This window comes from Homo sapiens, chromosome 11, assembly GCF_000001405.40.
Source record: "Homo sapiens chromosome 11, GRCh38.p14 Primary Assembly".
Classification (NCBI taxonomy): Eukaryota; Metazoa; Chordata; class Mammalia; order Primates; family Hominidae; genus Homo; species Homo sapiens.
In genome coordinates, this window is record NC_000011.10 from 92,808,450 (window position 1) to 92,825,260 (window position 16,811).

Consider the following 16,811-nt stretch of genomic DNA (forward strand, 5'->3'; position numbering starts at 1 on the left):
TCCAGGTAATGTCATATACAAAAGTGGAGGGAAAACTACTTTAGGCCAGATTGTGGAGTGTCTTGAATGTCCCAATGAAAATCCCTGGATGCTTTTTGAGTAGGAGAGGGAAATGATCCAACCTGTATCTGAGAACTGGCTGGCCATAGCCAGGAAGCTAAAAGATGAACTGCCTTAATAAATATAGGTAGCTTTGGCCAGCACGGTGGCTCACATCTGTAATCCCCGCACTTTGGGAGGCCGAGGTGGGTGGATCACAAAGTCAGGAGATCAAGACCATCCTGGTTAACACAGTGAAACCCCGTCTCCACTAAAAATACAAAAAAATTAGCCAGGCATGGTGGCGGGCACCTGTAGTCCCAGCTACTTGGGAGGCTGAGGCAGGAGAATGGCGTGAACCCAGGAGGCAGAGCTTGCAGTGAGCCGAGATCATGCCACTGCACTCCAGCCTGGGCGACAGAGCAAGACTCAGTCTCAAAAAAATAAATAAATAAAATAAATAAATAAATGAATATAGGTAGCTTCATCCAAATAATATCTACTAATTTTATTTAAGATTGATAATATTTCATGAGTCATACTTTCCACCAAATAACATTTATTCAGGTTTGTCACTGTGCTTGTTGTCATTATCTTATGAAACTTAAACAACAAAAATATCTCCACAAAAGCTGGTTTCCAGCACCAATGCAGCTATTCCAGTGGTTAAAATATAGACATAACATTACTCCACGCGGGATGCTAAGGAACTGCTTTTCCATGCTCCTCAAGTTTTCTCCGACTTGACTCCTCCCCAAGCAATGTCAGGCCCTTCCACAATCCAGCAAGTTAAGGGTTAACCCTTACACAATAGGGGTCCTTCAAGACCCTGCCCCGCTAAAGCCAGCTTCTGTTTTCATTACCTGTTTTCCTGTAAATGATAGAGCAAAAAGTTGAGTATCTGGAGGCAAAGAGACTGCCTTTCTGGGTCTATGGGTTGTTGACAATATTGACCATCAGAGAACCAGATATACCAGTCCATTCTCTGTGTGTTTTCTGGACATATAGCAGAAATCCAGAGACTGATCTCCAGAGTAGATCTTGAGAGGTTTAAAGAGGTTTGAAGCTTCTCCGTGTAGCCAAAAGAAAGAGCCCCTTATACCAGCGGTTTCAAAAAGGGATTAATTAATTTGAAGGTCACACAGCTGTTTTGTTTTTGCATCTAGAATCCCATACATTTTTCCCTGACACATAAACTGTTGAATTTGCTACATTTTTAAAGTATGGGACACTTGGGCCAAATGATGTTAGTCCTTCCTATGTTGAGAATTGTTTGTATAATTGGTCCTCTGCTCTCCAAAGAAAGACAGTTTTTAAAAACTCAGACCAATCATGCTGCCATTTATTTTCACAGGCGAGTTAAAAACCTTGGCTCTGTTGGACCGGGAGAGGATCCCCGTGTACAGCCTGATGGCCAAGGCCACTGACGGGGGTGGCAGGTTCTGCCAGTCCAACATCCACCTAATCCTGGAGGATGTGAATGATAACCCCCCTGTGTTTTCTTCTGACCACTACAACACCTGTGTCTATGAGAACACAGCCACCAAGGCTCTGTTGACCAGAGTTCAAGCCGTGGACCCCGACATTGGTAAGTCAGTTGCAGGCATCTCCCTGTCACACAGTGGACACTTTGTCTTCAGGTGCTGCCATTCCTTTAGTTTTATAAGAACCTTAATCAACCCCCTTGGTTCTTTACCACGAGAACATGTACATTAAACCCCATTTCAGCTATTCAGCTAATACACTTCATATGCATGAGAAAAGTCTGCAAGTTGGCCCTCCTCTTTCTCGAGTTTGAAGAAGAGATACTAAGAAGTCTTTTACCTTTTAGCAAAGGAGTTTGGGTTGGTTTGTTTGGGTTTTGTTTTGTTGTTTTTAGATTTTGACCTTTTGAATAAAAATGATAGATTTCCTCATTGTCTTTTCCTCCTAAACATAGTCAAAAGGCTATGTTGTGAAGCAAGGAGAATTTGATTTGTTTCCATGTCTATGAAGAACTCGGTCACATGCTTTAGCTGAAATATGACAATCTCGATTTAATATAGTGCCCCGTAGTGCAAAGACTAATTACTAAATGTGCTGCCAGTCCAACGTGGATTTTTTAAACTGCCATTTTACAAAGCATTTTTGTCACATATAAACTGACATTGTTTGACAGAGTGGGGGTGGGGGAGATAAGGAATTAGAATTGAAAGTTGCTAATAAAGTTTATGCTCAGATCCACTTTACATAATGAGATGGTGAGTTAGAAAAGACTGGAGTTAATTGCTAGGTAGACCTTCTGAGAATGCATAAGTTATTGAGGTGACTGCATGATGGAATATAAATACAAAAGGGCATATAGACAGCTTCTCGGTTGTGCATTTTAAGAGCTGTAAATCAGAGTACTAGGAAATGATGAGGTGTGTCTGCTATGCTAAACAGACCTTTATATAATTCAGTGTCATATTGCTTAATTCTGAATTGAAAGAAAAATTATTGGACTAATGGAAAAGTAAATACATGATAATTAGTTGAAAACAAACGTAGAGCCTGGGGCCTCTGCATATTTTCCCTTAGAGAAATTAGTGGCTACAATTTGAATTATTGCTGTTACCTCATTAGCATAATTTTCAAGGCTGAGAACCAACCCTTTAAAAGTCTACATATTAAAGAGCTTTGTGAAAAATGGTAAACAAGAAAGACCTCTTATTGATATATATTTATGTAATACCTACAAATAGTCTCTTTTTTAAAGGAGGATTAGAAAACATTCTCTGGACTCTTATTAGCAGATGACTTTGGGGAAAGAGAACAGAATTAATGGAAATGAATCACTTAATCATTTTAAATTTGATTTTGAGAATGTATAATTAGGCCATAGATGATATTTTAAAAGCTGAAAGATTGGAATTTTTCTCCACACTCCATGAAGGAATTGAGTGTACCCAGGCTACTAGACTGGACATGGACGTCTGATTAGTGCACATGGTGTTTTTTGAAACATGAGGGGGTGGAGTGGGGTGTTACTGACTCACAGACGGTGTGCTTGGAGCTGTTTTGCAAGTTGTGAAGAACATACTATGTCCTCCTTTCACTTATTTTGAGTCAGATGGCCAGGTTGGGAGTTGGGGAGGAAGGAATGTCTAGATTCTAGGCATTTAACAGGGCAGAGATGATAAAGACTTTAAGGAACCAAAACTGGAATGAGGATCTTACCAGTACCTTGATCTACTCATTTTTTGCTAATGAGTAAGAGCTTATATTCAAAGCTTCAAATAGAGACAGAGATTATAGGGGTGCTGCTGGCATCTATGTATAAAGTATACTCACCAGGCCATTGCATCAGCCACAGGAAAACTGTGGCATAAGATACCAGATTTTAGTTCATTTTCTCAGTTTTTGTAGATTTCTTTTAGCTTTAAAATGTAAAAGAACTAAGACAGCTGAGGAAGAACCAATGAATATTTCTAACAACACAGACTGAGCACCTACTGTGCCTTAGCCAGCATACTGACGAAGTGGTTGTGAAGGTCTTGGTCAGAGTAGACAGGAGATTCCAGTTGCAGCAGCGTCAGTCTGAGCTGCAATCAAATGAATGCTGACATTCTTCAGAATCCCTGGGTATCAATGATTGGTACACTAATTTTCATTAGTGGCCTGATCAGAACACTTACTGCCTCAAAAGTGACAATTTCTCCGTTTCCTAAGAGATTACAAACCAGTGTGAGCTGTGCACTAAGATTACCAGGTTGTTGAAGGTAGAATTTATCTTGGAGCCAAACTGAACCTCTGTCTGGAAGCTGAGTTTGCACATCAATAGCCATTGCACACAAATCTGGCTTTCTAGTTTGGCCTCTATAGTGTTCAAAAGAGAGGCCGAAGTGGGCGGATCACGAGGTCAGGAGTTCATGACCAGCCCGGCCAATATGGTGAAACCCCATCTCTACTAAAAATACAAAAATTAGCCAGGCATGGTGGTACTACGCCTGTAGTCCCAGCTACTCGGGAAGCTGAGGCAGAAGAATTGCTTGAACCCGGGAGGCGGAGGTTGCAGTGAGCCAATATTGTGCCAGTGCACTCCAGCCTGGGCAACAGAGCAAGACTCCATCTCAAAAAAAAAAAAGAAAGAAGGAAACAAGGAAAGAAAAAAAAACTTATAATAGCTGTTAATATTTAAAAGTCAGAATTTTATTAGAAATTTAGATTTCCAGCATTTTATAAAAACAACAGCACTCAGAAGGCCCTGCAATTCCAGGTACACAGGTCCCACATGGCAGGAGCTAAAGAGCAACTGCATCCTTGACACTGGCCACAGCACTAACCTTGCCTCCTGCTAGCCACTTTACTTGCTTATTGATATGGTTTGGCTGTGACCCCACCCAAATCATATCTTGAATTGTAGTTTCCATAATCCCCATGTGTCGTGGGAGACACCTGGTGGGAGGTAATTTAATCATGGGGGCGGTTATCCTCATGCTGTTCTCATGATAGTGAGTGAGTTCTCATGAGACCTGATGGTTTTATGAGGGGCTTTTCCCCCTTTTGTTTGGCACTTCCCCTTTCTGCCATCATGTGAAAAAGGATGTGTTTGCTTCCCTTTGACCTTCTGCTGTGATTGTAAGTTTCCTGAGGCCTCTCTAGCCATGCAGAACTGTGAGTCAATTAAACCTTTTCCCTTTATAAATTACCCAGTCTCCGGTATATCTTTATTAGCAGCATGAGAACGGACTAATATACTTGTGTTACCTCCTGACCTCGTTTGCAGATCCTTCTCTAGAATGACAAGGAAAGGTCTTATTTTTAAGCTTTTTATTTTGAAATAATTACAGGTTCACAGGAAGTTGCAAAATAATATATAGGGAATTCAAGTGCCCCTTCACCCAGCCCTTCTCCCACTGGTAACATCTTGCTTAACTATAGTAAACCATCAGAGCTAGGAAATTGATCTTGGTACAATCCACAGAGTTTATTCAAATTTCAGGGTGTTTGCCTGTATATATTTCTATGCAATGTTATCACCTGTGCAGCTTCATTTAAGCACCACATTCATACATCACACGCCTCCCACTTGCTGCCCCTTTGGAGCCACACCCACCCACTCCCTGCACCTGCTTCCCAATCCCTAACCCCTGACAACCACTGACTTCCATATCTATAATTCTCTTATTTCAAAAATGCTATTTAAGTTAAATTATATAGTTTGTAACCTTTTGAGATTGGTCTTATTTTTTCACTCAGCATAATTCTCTTAAGATTCATCCAAGTTGTCTAATTGGTTTTTGATCCTGCTGAAGATCATTGGCTACATTTGTGTAAATGACAGGCATATTTGATTCATGAAACTTCTTTGGTTAAGCACATTGCTTTACCAGAAGTTGTAAATTATTCCACCAGTGCTATGATCTGAAATTTGTGTCCCTCTAAAATTCATACGTTGGAACCTAATTCCTCATGTGTCCATATTAAGAGATGCATCCTTTGGGAGGTGATTAGGTCCTGAGGGCTCTTCAGTGCCCTTATAAAAGAGGCTTCAGGGAGCCTGTTCTTCTCTTCTGTCATGCAAGAACATCTAGTGTCTGGTGGAGGCCCATTTCAAATAGAACGTGCCCCCACCAACACCAAATCTGCTGGTGCCTTGATCTTGGACTTCCCAGCCTCCAGAACTATGAGCAATAAATTTCTGTTGTTTATAAATTACGAAGTCTCAGGTATTTTTTATAGCCCAAACAGATTAAGACAGCCAGCGATTGACTACAAAATATACCGTTCATTATGAATTGCAGAGAAAAGACAAGGATATAATCTGAAATCTGACTCTGTGACTTGCTAAACCTTCATATCCTGATTTAAGAAATTTAAAATATATTATTGCTTTTAGCCAAACAACTCTTTTTCTATGAATCACTTATAATGAACTAACATTATTGTTAGAGTCATTGCCTGGGTCAGGAATAAAATAAAAACAGAAGAGGACAAGATAATTTTACACCTATTTTATGAGTTCTAAGAAATACCGTGGCAACTCTCTAGATTTTAGCATGAAGTTCTTAGTTTTCCTGTCAATTGGAAATATCTTTGCCCCCATAAACTGGTGACATGACTTCATGACCCAACATTTATAAAAAAAGGGAAGTTAAAGGGTGAATAGTAGTAAAATGAATAGTTGTTAAAGGGAACACACATACCGTTAATAACACATGGACACAGGGAGGGGAACATTACACACTGGGGCCTGTTGGAGTGTAGGGGACAAGGGGAGGAAGAACATCAGGACAAATACCTAATGCATGTGGGAATTGAAAGCTAGATGATGGGTTGATAGGTGCAGCAAACCACCATGGCACATATATACCTGTGTAACAAACCTACACGTTCTGCACATGTATCCCAGAACTTAAAGTAAAATTTTAAAAGAGCAAATTTCCCAGAATGAATAGGATTTCCACAGTCAGGGGTAGGAACACATTCAGGAAGATAGGAGCCAGGAAGTTGGGAAAGTGTGGACCCAACTAAATAGTTGAGAGAACATCATGTAGTCCAAGAGGGAGGAGAGATTAATGAGATAGGAAAAGTAGACCGGGCCTGATTGTGGTTGTTTGTGAAGGCCACTTAATTAAACAGATGGAAATGAACCATTGAGCACATTTGAGAAAAGAAATAATGAATTTGGAGTTTGGGGGATGCTAATCTGATAGGAGCTTCTGAAATGAATTGGAACAAGGAAAACCAGGGACTAGGAAAGCTCCTAGGAGTGTATTAAGAAAAACAATAAGGGCCAAAATGAGAGTGGTGGCTTTGAGATTTAAAAATAAGGAGCTGGTGGGCTGGGCACGGTGGCTCACACCTGTAATCCCAGCACTTTGGAGGCTGAGGAGGGCAGATCACAAGGTCAGGAGATCGAGACCATCCTGGCTAACACAGTGAAACCCTGTCTCTACTAAAAATACAAAAAATTCGCCGGGCGTGGCAGTGGGCACCTGTAGTCCCAGCTACTTGGGAGGCTGAGGCAGGAGAATGGCATGAACCCAGAAGGCAGAGCTTGCTGTGAGCAGAGATCACGCCACCGCACTCCAGCCTGGGAGACAGAGCGAGACTCCATCTCAAAAAAAAACCAAGTAAATAAATAAATAAGGAGCTGGTGAAAGCCAGATTGAGATTTCAGATGTGAAATCTGTAGATTTTGGCAACTGACTAGACTAAAAGCAAGGTAGGCTATTTAGTCAAAATTTCAAACATGGGCACCAGGTGAAGGTGCTGCATGAGCAGAAGTAGCATAGACGGTCAACAGTACCACCTGGCATGGAGAGGAAGATGAAACATGGGGACACATTGGGAATTCAAGTGTGAACCTCCAGAAGGAAGTCAGGAATAAAGACATGTTTGCTCATCGTGACAGTCTTGCCTTCAAGGGGTTTACAGTCATAGGGAGAAACAGATTTGCACAACAAGATTCCAAGAAAACAATGAAGAATGTGGTAATAAAGTCACATCTGTAAAACTAATGATTTTGTAAGGATTGGTCAGATAGCACATGTAAAATGCTACATAGGTCCATGTGGGAACATTACAATGTAAGCAATGAATTTTCAACTGGGACAACTCAGGAAGGATTCACCAAATGGTATTAGCACTTACCAAAATGCTAAGAGTTGGGACTTGAACTTGGATGGAGATAGACAGAGGAGTGAGACAGAGAGACAGATAGATGGAAAGATGAGTGTTAGCCAGGACAGGCTTGGCAAGACTGAGATCATTTGTAGGAAGTCTGAGTGGCTTAGCAAAGCAAAAGCTTATTTCTTGCCCAGGTGAAGGACAGGTCAGTGCGAGTCTATCTAGTGACTCAGAAATCTGGTCCCTCCATCCTGTCATCTCCACCTTCTGACCTTTGGCTTCCAAGGTCACAGCAGAGGGGAAGAGAGAGATGAAGGCAGCATGCCAGCTGTCAGCTGCCTCAGCCTGGGAGAGACCACATCACTCCACCACTATCCACTGCCCAGAAGGAGTCCCTCAGGCTGGCCCACCTGCACAGGAGCAGGGACACATAGGGGAGGACTGGGGAGACTTGGTGAGCACTCATTACCTCTGCTGCAATGATGAAAGCAGGAAAGAACAACTGCCACAGTGGGTCCCAAAGAGGTCAGAGAAGGTGACATCACTCATGAGCAGGGAAAGTTAGCCTCAAGGGTGTGGAGGGACCACTTGGCTTTAGAAGTAAAAGGAAAGAGCTGGGTGTGGTGGCTCATGCCTGTAATCCCAGCACTTTGGGAGGCGGAGGCGGGCAGATCACTTCAGGTCAGTAGTTCAAGACCAGCCTGACCAACATGGTAAAACCCCATCTCTACTAAAAATACAAAAATTAGCCAGGTGTGGTGACGTGCGCCTGTAATCCCAGCTACTCGGGAGGCTGAGGCAGGAGAATCACTTGAGCCAAGGAGGTGGAGGTTGCAGTGAGCCGAGATCACCCCACTGCATTCCAGCCCAGGTGACAGAGTGAGACTCCATCTCAAAAAAAATCAAAACAAAAATAAAAAAGAAGTAAAAGGAAAGAGAGGCAGAAAGGGAAAATTGAAACACAAAGGAAGATGCTCAAAGGGAGATGCTAAGGAAACCCACTGAGAGGCACACACATGCCCTCGGATGTCTCTATACAGGAAGGGACTGCCATCTGAGATAAGCAGGGCAGCAGCTGGGCTGAGTGCCCTGAGGAGATGCAGGAGTTTGTTTCAGGGTGAGGGGAAAGGTGAGCGGGAGTCAGTAAGAAATGAAGAAGAGAACATCTCACCCAGTGAGGGCTCTGTAGGTGCCAGATTATTTAATACATGAATGGGCAGTGGTCCCAATCAGTAAATTGCATTAATAGAAAATATGAAAAATTCTGAGTCTTCCAGAATACTGCCTTTCCCCTAAAGTTAATAGTTTGATCCTCATATTAACAGAAAATTGGAAAGACACTAAGAGAACTTATCTTTTGATAGAGCTTCCCTGTTTTGCCCCGAGTGTGTATCTCAGCTGTCCTCAGCTTCCTCCATTTTGTGCTGGCATTCACTAATAATGGTGTAAGCTTGCTGTCTATGTTGGGAATTTGTTTAGTGAGTATTTCATGAGAGAGATAGCGTCTTGAACCCTGCACTTTGCTCTCAGAGGGAAGATACTGGAATGAACTGGGTTTTCCAAAGCAAAGCTCTTTTCAGAGGAAGTACAGGGCTGGCCCAGGGTCATGGGGCACCATTTGCCCTGACAGCATAGCTGCCTATGAAGGAGGAATGTATTTATTTGAGAGGAATGTGCATGAAAGTGACCACTAACGATTGTTAGATGGAGATTTTTCTGACCAAACCACCTTCAGTGAATCTCTCCAGTGGTTTTCCTGCCTCTTCTGACACATCTCGCCTTTTTTGTCTGCCACTTTTTGAGAGCCATTAACCGAGACTTAGGAAGAAAAGCTTGGAGGTGACAAAAGTCCACTGGAAATGTGGACGAGATGCTGCAACTCTAGTGGAAAAGCATCTCACATGCCCTGGGTTCTCAGTTTCCTGTATCTTCTTGGGACAGAGTCTGAGGAAGTGTTGCTCAAACCAATCTGTAAGAATCAAAAATGCTTGTCTATACCTGCAGCCCTAGACACTCCACTTTAAATTTGATAGCCAAAGCAAAGTTCCAACTCTCTGTGATGGTGTTTGATGTCAAATCTTCTATCGTCAGCCTTCTGATTTCCCGAAGGAAAACAAACAAGGAAAACAATATACATTCAGCATTTACTCTCTAAAACTCCAGTCTATAAGGGACTTTACTAAATATACTACCTTTGCACTGTGCCTCAAAAGCAAAAAAAAAAAGAGGCACATCTGACAGAAGAGGTGAATCCTGAAGCATCCTTTTTCACTGGCATCAGTATGTGAGTGTGTGGGACAGAGAGAAGGGGCAGTCTGTGGCATCTGGAAGAAACTGGCTCTGTCCGTGTCTTCCATAGTGGAGGCATGCAAACATCCTGCCATTTCTCCCTTTTAGGATTTTCTAAGTAGACAGCTTCCTCGCAGCCTCATCCCTCAGCTGAGACAGCACCCCTGGGTTTCTCCAGACCCTGGAGATCAGGTCACAGGGATATCCCCAAATGTACCCAAGAAACACATCTAGTAACTGGATTGATCAAGAGCTCACAAGAGCATGGGGAAAGCTCTGATGATTAGTGACCTGGGGCAAGTCTTCAGCTTCTCCGAGCCTTTAGTTTCCTCTTCTGTAATGTAAGAATGACAGTAATGTTCCCTTTGCCGACCTCAAAGCATCAGTGTGAGATTGGCCCAAGACTGAATGAAAAGCACTTTGAACTTGTAAGGCCACATTTTCCTTCTCTGGAGTTAGACCTCCCTGTTCTGAGCTCCTGCGCATGTCCTGATTATCCCGACAGAGAGCTGCATGCACGTTTCTTCTCTACTAGTCTTGGACCCTCCTAGGCAAGCTCAGTTACTTAATAAGAATTTTAAATGATAATCATAATATGGCTAATAACATCTGCTTTCAGAGCTTCTGCTCCACTTCAGGCACTGCGCCAAGTGCCTTAGATACATTATTCCCATTTCTCATAATAGCCCTGCAAGTTAGCGTACTTTTTCATTCTATTTAATATATGAATAAACTCTGAGGGGTTAAGTAACTTGCCCTGAGCCACAGCTAGTTAGTTGCAGGGCTGCAGACAACATGATAGGGGCCACAGGAGGGTTGGTTAACAGACATTCAATTAATAGTGATGCTATAGTCAAGGGTAGGACAGTGGTACTCAAAAAGTCTGGACCAACAGTCTCAGTATCACCTGGGAGCTTGTGGAAAATGCAATTTCTGAATAAGACTCTAGATCAGTGGTTCTCAAACTTCAGTGAGCATAAGAGCCACCTCGAGGGTGTATTTGAACAGATTGCTGGGTCCCTCCGCCAGAGTTTCTGACTCAGTAGGTCAGGGAAGGAACCTCCTGATAATTTGCGTTTCAGACTAGTTCCCAGGTGATGTTGATGCTGCTGTTCCCAGAACCACACTTTGAATATCACTTGCTTAGGGATTCTTAATATTTTTGTGTCACAAACGCCTTAACAGTTTGGTAATACCTGTGGATCACCTCTCAGAATAATATTTTACATCTCATAAAATAAAATACAAAAAGTTACAAATAAAATAGTTTTGTCCAAGCATTTTTTAAGTTGTTGTATAGTAATGTGAATTTCTTTTTATATATTAAATAACAAAATCTAGTGCAGTAGGTCTAATAACTCCCATATTTCAAAGTAGTGGTAAGTAGAGGCAGGTACAACAACCATAAAATAATAAGAAAATATCTGATTTATACTGGTTACAAAACCACAGGTGCTGTTCATACCACAGTGACTTGTTGCCTACATTTATTGTAGAATGTGACACTAAAGCCAGTTAGAGGTTAATGAAAATAAAGATGCCAATATTCCTCCGTTATGGTAGCAGCCTCTAAGATAACCCCAGTGATTCCCCACTTCCTGATATTCACACCCCTTCCCTTGAGAGTGGGCTGGACTTACTGACTCACATCTAATGAACAGGATATAGCAGAAGTGATGATATCACTTCAGAGATTAGGTTATAAGAAGACTGTGGCATCCATCTTGACAATGCTTTCTGTATTAGTCTGCTCAGACTGCCATAACGAAGTACCTGAGACTGGATGACTTAAACAACAAACATTTACTTTCTCACAGTTCTGGAGTCTGGGAATTTAAGTTCAGGGTGTCAGCATTGGTCAGGTTTTGTCCAGGGCTCTCTCCTTGGTTTGTAGACAGCTCCTTCTCCCATTGTGTTCACATGGCCTTTCCTAGGTGCACCTGGATGTAGAGAGATCTGTCTTTCTTCTCTTCTTATGGGTCACTAATCCTATCACATTAGGACCCCACCCTTAAGACCTCATTTAACATTAATTGCCTCCTAAAAGCCTTATCTCCAAAGCAGTCTCAGTGGAGATTAGGGCCTCAACATATGAATTTTGGGAGATCACAATTCAGTCTATAACACTCTTTCCTACTGTCTGTGGGATCACTTGCCCCAGGGGAAGACAGCTGTGGTATTGTGAGGCAGCCCTGAGAGAGGCTCACATGGTGAGGGGTCAAGGTCTATCAACAACTGCTCTTGAAAATGGACCCACCCTCCAACCTCCATTTGAGCTTCCAGATGAGACTGCAGCCCTGCCTGACAGCTTGACTGCAACCTCAAGAGAAATGCTGAGCCATAGATAACCAGCTAAAAAATGCCTGGATTCCTGATCCATAGAAACCATGAAATAATAAATATTTGTTTTGTTATGCTGTTAAGTTCTGGGGCAATTTAGCATGGAACAAGAGAGAACTAGTATACTAATGCAAGTTCATGGGCATCTTCAAGTCTATCCACACATCCTTAAGATTCCCTGATCATAGCCATTATCTTTTCACAGGTTCTACTCTCCAAGGAACAAGGGCTCTTGTGCAGATCAATGGCAATTAAAACAGGGCCCACCTTGGGAAGGAGCAGTGCATCTGTGTTGGGAGCACAGCTATTTGACATAGGCAGGGATGAGTGATGGTGGAAAGCTATTGGCTGCTCCTTGTTGCTATTCTCATGGATTCATGGGCCTTCCATGGGGCACTAGGTCCACTTCTTATGGAAATGCCATCCTATTAGATCTTAGGATGTTACCACTGAAAAGACCCTGAGACAAAATCCAGTCAAATCCTGAGGTCCAGAGACAAAGAGACTTTCCCAAGATGACTTAATTAGTGGCAAAGCTGGATTGAAAAGGAGATTATCATCACTTCAGCCTAATGCTTTTTTGTATACTCCAGTAATTTCTACAAGAAAATGTTTTGAAAGAGATTGATTCTATTCTGATTTCAGCCTGTTTTCTCTTAAGTAGCATCTATTCTTTGTTTTTCCTACTGCCTTAGATATTGTTATTTCTAACCTGCATAGGTCACTGATTTAATGTATTTTACCCCCTTCCCCAAAGCTGTTATTCTCCGAAGTGTTGAATCTTTGAAGGTGGCTAAGGGACTATTAAAATGTCAGTAAAAATTAAATAATCCTCCCTACAGACTGAAAAACATAAGTCATTTTCTGGAGTACACTGTGGTCAAAGCCTTTTGTCTGTTGTAGATATCAAAAATATCATCTTCTGTTTTAAGTCTTTCTCTAGAAAGCTCCAAAAACACGCATGTGATGTTACCAGGGAATGAACAGATCTGGATGCTCCCACCTATAGATGGAGAAATTAAGGTTCAAAAACGTTAAGTGGCCCCTCCCAAGGCATCTGTTAAATGGAGTGATCTGAGCAAAGGGCTCTGGGCTCCATAAACCCCTCCCTGAATTATTTACCTCCTACCAGTGTTAGGACACCTTCTACAGTGTCTGCAACCAGATGCAGGGCCATGACACTCTACGATTTCTGTGTCAGAATCCTCTGGAGAGTTTTTAAAAATAAACAGGCTAAACAAACAAACAAGCAAGGGCTCCATCTCCAGAACCTGATTTAGAAAGTCTGGGAGAGAGCTGGACATTTTTTTTTTCTCTGCAGTTGATTATAATGCCTTTCCCTATTTAGAAGTTTTTGCCTTTGACACACGTAAGTTCTTGTTATCATTACCCTTTTAAACATCCAGTTTCTTCCAAACAGGGATCAAAACACTAGCTGTCAAAGGAAACAGCTAATTCCTTCCAAAAAGGAGGTATCTTAAGCAAGTGTTTTAGCACAGTCCCCCATTAGCAGGGAATTCTGACCCATATCAGTTGATCATAGTGGTTCTTTCGCAGAAGCTCCCTCACTCATGTGCTACCTCATTTGTAGACGCCACAGGTTGGTTAAAAAAAAAAAAAGCCTCTGAACTGCTAATTTGGATCAGTCTGGATCGAACACTCGGCAATGCAGAGGACGGATTTAAGGCAGTACTAATATAGCTAGGAAAATCTCCATCCACCCCTGGGCATTTTCTGCAGAAAATCCAAGGACCCCAAGCTTTGACTCCCTGCCTCTCCAGGGCATGTTGAGGCTTTGTGAAATGTGCTTATCAGCTTTGCTGCAGGATACATCCTACCACTTCACCTTGTGAGGCCTCCTTGACAGGCACGATTATGTTGTCCATCATCTGCTCGTAAGCTCTTTTAATAACTTCTCACATATTACAAAACACTTTCCACCCACGCATCCTCTCCACCTTGCTCCTTCCAATCTTTCTTTTTCTCTTTCTGCTAATTTATCCATTAACTTAGGCCCAGTTTCTAGTTTATGCTAACTATAATTGGTTATAACACCTCTGGTAACTTGCAGTTGCCTCTGAAAATAGACAGTTTCAGCTTCTACTGTTGTAAACTTAGGGATTTAACAATGCTGAACCATTTATCCTTCTCTGAGTATACCTTGCAATTTCAGCATTGTTAACTTCACACATGTTCTCACCATTTGTAATGCCCTTTCTTCTTGTCACTCTTCCACCTTATTTTGCTACTGACAACTCCTATCTTTCCTTCAGGACTCAATCCATTTGTTTTCTTCTCTGAGAAACTTCCCTTGACCACCCCTCTCCAACAATCAACTCTATACATGCTTGTCTCCTGAGAAATGAGAGCCGTTTGAGAGCACATAAGTGGTGGGAGCCATCCTTCTTTGTATCCCCAGTGCCTGCCATGCAGCAGGAGTTAAGTATTTCTTGGATGAATGAATGAATGGATCCAGTGGTCACACTTAGTGGCCCATATAGAAAACCCGTTGCATGATCGTTGGGTAGCTATCCAGCACAGACATTCCATGTACCAATAAACATGGAGTTTTGAGTATTTAGTTGATGAATTAGTTTACTTACACTTAATCATCCCAGGTGTAGCTTCATGCCAAGCCATAGATAGTTGAAAAAGTTTAACCCAGATAAGCTGCAGCTTTTTAGGTATCACAGAAGGTATAACTATAGTCTTATCCAGCAATGGGGCCAGTTTTATAGGTGTGCAGTCAAACAGAACTCCTTGCTTAGAAGGGCCCTGTGTTTCACTTAGTGCTCTCTTCTGGCTTGTGTTGAGTGTCTTAATACTGTTTAAACAAGAGTCCCTGTATTTTTATTTTGCATGGGAGCCCACAATCATGTTGTTGCTCCTACCCAGCAGAGCTACAGCCAGCCCAATTGGGAAGTCCTCAACAGATTTTTGGTGCAGTCATCAGGGTCTCCTGGACTCTGTGACTGATGTTACCTTCTGTGTTTTTTGACTTCAAAAAACCGAGGGGCTACTGACTGACCCCAGGAGCTGGTATTCTGCCCATGGGAATGTGCCAGTTTTAGTCATCACCCAATGAAGAACTTTTAAAAGGCACTTAAAACAGAAGTAATTAGGGAGTCTATTTAAAATTAATTGCCAACTGAAAAAGTAATTGCTAATTCCATGGGCCTCTTCATGGCAACTTCCTGTTTTATTTCATATTATCCACAGGCATATTTCAAACAGAGGAAAAAGGAGCCATTAATTTAAGCTGTTTCATTGTAGTGGGATTTTATTTGCCTTCCACAGAGAATGAGAGAAGAATTTTAGGCTAGCCATTTTGTTTGCTTAATTTAAGTATGAAAATCATTTTTAAGGCTGGGTGTGGTGGCTCACCCCTGTAATCCCAACACTTTGGGAGGCTGAGGTGGGTGGATCACCTGAGGTCAGGAGTTTGAGACCAGCCTGGCCAACATAGTGAAACCCCATCTCTACTAAAAATACAAAAATTAGCCGGGCATGGTGGTGTGTGCCTGTAATCCCAGCTACTCCGGAGGCTGAGGCAGGAGAAACGCTTGAACCCAGGAGGCAGAGGTTTCAGTGAGCTGAGATCACACCACTGCACTCCAGCCTGGGTGACAGAGTGAGACTCTGTCTCAAAAAAAAGAAAGAAAGAAAGAAAATCATTTTTAAATCACATTTCTTTAAATAACTTTATAATGAGACCTTGACAAAAGTGATTTTCTAAGTAAAGCCAGTGTCTTTCTGAAGACAAACTATAATGGAGAATAGAAATATCCAGAAAAAGTAGCCTATACAATATGTATCTTTTCTGCATTTTCGAGTGGTATGGATGTTGACAATTAAACTGGCCTGCAAAATAAATTGAGTATTTGATTGCACTCCAAAATTGATATTAAAGAATTATTTCTCATGTACATAATTTTTATAATAGTTCTTTTATTTATTACAAACATAGTGTGTGTTTACAAACATGCTCTTAACCTAGAAGGGTAAACAAAAAAGAAAACAAGTCATTTTTAACCATGGTTACCACTTTGATAGAAATCCCTTCTGCCTTTTTTTTTTCCACAAAACTAGGCTCATAAACTAGATATTATTTTGTAACTTGCTTTTTTGATGACCTGCAACTATATTTCTATGCCATTATATATTCTTTTACATCTTTATTGTGACATTGTACATAGTATTCTATATACATCATATGACCGTGGGATGATGGATTCAACCAGTCCTCATTGTTGGAAAATTGGGTAAGTACCAGTTTTTTTTCACAAATGCAAACATCTATTTAGCAGAAGCTTTGTGTATGTATATGAATGTTTTATATACATTGTTAAATATTAAAAAACTAAATGTTCCTTAATAAAAGAAAGCAGTTTTTTCCACATTGTCCTTTTTCAAGGTTATTTAATTCTTTCAGCACATGCATTTGCAATGGACATATATGTGTACTGTGTGCATCACCTGCATATGTTATGTTAGCAGGAACGTATACTTGCTTTGGTCCCCTAGTTGTTTCTTCTGCGGTTCAACATTCA

At 41.5% G+C, this 16,811-nt stretch overlaps 1 protein-coding gene across 11 annotated transcripts in view, besides 1 other annotated feature; it reads left to right on the forward strand.

The window, feature by feature from the left end:
* FAT3 (FAT atypical cadherin 3) overlaps positions 1 to 16,811 on the forward strand; it is a 671,656-nt gene that overhangs the window by 583,632 nt on the left and 71,213 nt on the right. For all 11 annotated transcript variants that reach the window (XM_017017179.3, XM_017017178.3, XM_017017180.2 and 8 more), the window contains one exon: positions 1,394 to 1,627. In XM_017017179.3, coding sequence (XP_016872668.1) covers positions 1,394 to 1,627 — 234 coding nt within the window. The remainder of the gene's footprint in view (positions 1 to 1,393; positions 1,628 to 16,811) is intronic.
* Positions 12,317 to 12,912: an enhancer, noted in NCBI's record as "OCT4-NANOG hESC enhancer chr11:92553932-92554527 (GRCh37/hg19 assembly coordinates)". NCBI's record gives its function as "activates a minimal SCP1, AML or CMV promoter by ChIP-STARR-seq in primed H9 embryonic stem cells {active_cell/tissue: H9 hESC(primed)}" and the evidence as "EXISTENCE:reporter gene assay evidence [ECO:0000049][PMID:30033119]".